This window comes from Homo sapiens, chromosome 2 (genome assembly GCF_000001405.40).
Source record: "Homo sapiens chromosome 2, GRCh38.p14 Primary Assembly".
Taxonomy (NCBI): Eukaryota; Metazoa; Chordata; class Mammalia; order Primates; family Hominidae; genus Homo; species Homo sapiens.
Window position 1 is genome coordinate 76651717 of NC_000002.12, and position 3956 is coordinate 76655672.

Consider the following 3956-nt stretch of genomic DNA (forward strand, 5'->3'; position numbering starts at 1 on the left):
TTCTTGTTGAATTGATCCCTTTACCATTATGTAATGGCCTTCTTTGTGTCTTTTGATCTTTGTTGGTTTAAAGTCTGTTTTATCAGAGGCTAGGATTGCAACCCCTGCCTTTATTTGTTTTCCATTTGTTTGGTAGATCTTCCTCCATCCTTTTATTTTGAGCCTATGTGTGTCTCTGCACGTGAGATGGGTTTCCTGAATACAGCACACTGATGGGTCTTGACTCTTTATCCAATTTGCCAGTCTGTGTCTTTTAATTGGAGCATTTAGTCCATTTACATTTAAAGTTAAATTGTTATGTGTGAATTTGATCCTGTCATTATGATGTTAGCTGGTTATTTTGCTCGTTAGTTGATGCAGTTTCTTCCTAGTCTCGACGATGTTTACATTTTGGCATGATTTTGCAGCGGCTGGTACCAGTTGTTCCTTTCCATCTTTAGTGCTTCCTTCAGGAGCTCTTTTAGGGCAGGCCTGGTGGTGACAAAATCTCTGAGCATTTGCTTGTCTGTAAAGTATTTTATTTCTCCTTCACTTATGAAGCTTAGTTTGGCTGGATATGAAATTCTGGGTTGAAAATTCTTTTCTTCAAGAATGTTGAATATTGGCCCCCAGTCTCTTTTGGCTTGTAGAGTTTCTGCCGAGAGATCTGCTGTTAGTCTGATGGGCTTCCCTTTGTGGGTAACCCGACCTTTCTCTCTGGCTGCCCTTAACATTTTTTCCTTCATTTCAACTTTGGTGAATCTGACAATTATGTGTCTTGGAGTTGCTCTTCTCGAGGAGTATCTCTGTGGCATTCTCTGTATTTCCTGAATCTGAATGTTGGCCTCCCTTGCTAGATTGGGGAAGTTCTCCTGGATGATATCCTGCAGAGTGTTTTCCAACTTGGTTCCATTCTCCCTGTCACTTTCAGGTACACCAGTCAGACATAGATTCGGTCTTTTCACATAGTCCCATATTTCTTGGAGGCTTTGCTTGTTTCTTTTTATTCTTTTTTCTCTAAACTTCCCTTCTTGCTTCATTTCATTCATTTCATCTTCCATTGCTGATACCCTTTCTTCCAGTTGATCGCATCGGCTCCTGAGGCTTCTGCATTCTTCACGTAGTTCTCCAGCCTTGGTTTTCAGGTCCTTCAGCTCCTTTAGGCACTTCTCTGTATTGGTTATTCTAATTATACATTCTTCTAAATTTTTTTCAAAGTTTTCAACTTCTTTGCCTTTGGTTTGAATGTCCTCCCGTAGCTCAGAGTAATTTGATCATCTGAAGCCTTCTTCTCTCAGCTCCTCAAAGTCATTCTCTGTCCAGCTTTGTTCCGTTGCTGGTGAGGAACTGCGTTCCTTTGGAGGAGAAGTGGCACTCTGCTTTTTAGAGTTTGCAGTTTTTCTGCTCTGTTTTTTCCCCATCTTTGTGGTTTTATCTACTTTTGGTCTTTGATGATGGTGATGTACAGATGGGTTTTTGGTGTGGATGTCCTTTCTGTTTGTTAGTTTTCCTTCTAACAGACAGGATCCTCAGCTGCAGGTCTGTTGGAGTACCCGGCCCTGTGAGGTGTCAGTCTGCCCCTGCTTGGGGGTGCCTCCCAGTTAGGCTGCTCAGGGGTCAGGGGTCAGGGACCCACTTGAGGAGGCAGTCTGCCCATTCTCAGATCTCCAGCTGCGTGCTGGAAGAACCACTGCTTTCTTCAAAGCTGTCAGACAGGGACATTTAAGACTGCAGAGGTTACTGCTGTCTTTTTGTTTGTCTGTGCCCTGCCCCCAGAGGTGGAGCCTACAGATGCAAGCAGGCCTCCTTGAGCTGTGGTGGGCTCCACCCAGTTGGAGCTTCCCAGCTGCTTTGTTTACCTAAGCAAGCCTGGGCAATGGCGGGCGCCCCTCCCCCAGCCTTGCTGCTGCCTTGCAGTTTGATCTCAGACTGCTGTGCTAGCAATCAGGGAGACTCCGTGGGCATAGGACCCTCCGAGCCATGTGCGGGATATAATCTCCTGGTGCGCTGTTTTTTAACCCCTTCGGAAAAGCGCAGTATTCGGGTGGGAGTGACCCGATTTTCCAGGTGCCGTCTGTCACCCCTTTCTTTGACTAGGAAAGGGAACTCCCTGACCCCTTGCACTTCCCGAGTGAGGCAATGCCTCGCCCTGCTTCGGCTCGCGCACGGTGTGCACACCCACTGACCTGCGCCCATGGTCTGGCACTCCCTAGTGAGATGAACCCGGTACCTCAGATGGAAATGCAGAAATCACCCATCTTCTGCGTCACTCACGCTGGGAGCTGTAGACCAGAGCTGTTCCTATTCGACCATCTTTGCTCCTCCTATCCCAGGTCACCATTTTCTCAGAGCACAATGCACGCCAGCCACTTAATTCTAGGGAAAGCCGTTGAAAATGATTTTGTTAGAATATTGCTTGAAATGTCCTCATGCTTCAATTATTAACCTAAATTGACATATCAGTATCACTCAAACTTTATAGTTTACATGAGGGTGTCTGTTCTACATTCTATGAGTTTGAAAAAATGTATGATGACATGTATCCACCATTATGGTGTCATACAGTATAGTTTCACTGCTCTACACTTGTAGAATATACTTTGCTCAATCTACTTATCCCTGCCTCTTCTTCAGCCCCTAGCAACCAGTGATCATTTTACGGTCTTTTATGTCTTTTCCAGAATGTAACATAGTTGGAATCATACAGTACTTAGCCTTTTCGGATTGGTTTTTTTCACTTACTAATGTGTATCCAAGTTTTTTCCATGTCTTTTCATGACTTTATAGCATATTTGTTTTTAGCACCGAATAATATTCAATTGTATGGATATATCAGTTTATTTATCCATTCAACTACTGAAGGACATCTTGGTTGCTTCCAAGGTTTGGCAGTTATAAATAAAGCTGCCATATACATCTTTGTGCAAGTTTTCGTGTGGGTATAAGTTTCCAACTGCTTTGCATAAATACCAAAGAATACACTTCTTAGGTCTTATGGTAAGAGTATGTATAATTTTGTAAGAAACTACCAAACTGTCTTCTAGAGTTGCTGTACTATTTTGCATTACTACCTGCAGTGAGTGAGAATTACTGTTTCTCCACATTCTCATCACTACTTGATCGTGTCAGAGTTCTAGGTTTTGGCCATTCTAATAGATTTATAGTGGTATCTCACTGCTGTTTTAATGACTGTCTCTTTGATGTCAAAGAATGTGGAACATCTTTATGTATATTTATTGGCCATCTGTATATCTTCTTTGATTTAGTGTGTGTTAAGATCTTTGGCCAATTTTAAAATCAGATTGTTGGTTTTCTTGTTGAGTTTTAAGAATTCTTTGTATATTTTGAATTTATCCCATATGTCTTGCAAATATTTTCTCCAAGTCTTTGTCTTCTTTTTATTCTCTTGACAGTGTCTTTTGCAGAGCAGTTTTTTATTTTAATGAAGGCCAGTTCATCCATCTTTTTTTTTTTTCATGGATTGCGTTTCTGGTGTAAAAAGTTGTTACCAAACCCAAGATCATTTTTATTTTCTCCTATGTTAACTTTTAGGAGTTTTAAAGTTTTGTTTTTTACATTTAGGTTTACAGTCCATTTTGAGTAAATTTTTGTGAAGGATGTCAAGTTTGTTTCCTTTCCCAAAGATCAGTTAACTAAATAGGTGGTGGTTTATTTCTAGACTTTCTGTTCTGTTTCATTTATCTGTCTCTCCATTACTTAACCAGTGTCATACTTCCTTGTTTACTGTAGTGTTATCATAAATCTTGAAGTTGAATACTGTCAGTCCTCCAACTTTGTTCTTCTCATATAATATTGTGTTAGTTATTCTCGGTATTTTGCCTTTCTAGATAAACATTAGATAAGTATGTTGCTAACCACAGATAACTTGTTGAAACTTTGATTGGGATTAAATTAAATATATAAATCAAGATGGGAAGAACTGACATCTTAATAACATTGACTCTTTTAATCCATGA

At 40.8% G+C, this 3956-nt stretch overlaps 1 annotated feature.

Annotated features, from left to right (window-relative positions):
• Positions 1941-2489: an enhancer, noted in NCBI's record as "H3K27ac-H3K4me1 hESC enhancer chr2:76880783-76881331 (GRCh37/hg19 assembly coordinates)". NCBI's record gives its function as "activates a minimal SCP1, AML or CMV promoter by ChIP-STARR-seq in primed H9 embryonic stem cells {active_cell/tissue: H9 hESC(primed)}" and the evidence as "EXISTENCE:reporter gene assay evidence [ECO:0000049][PMID:30033119]".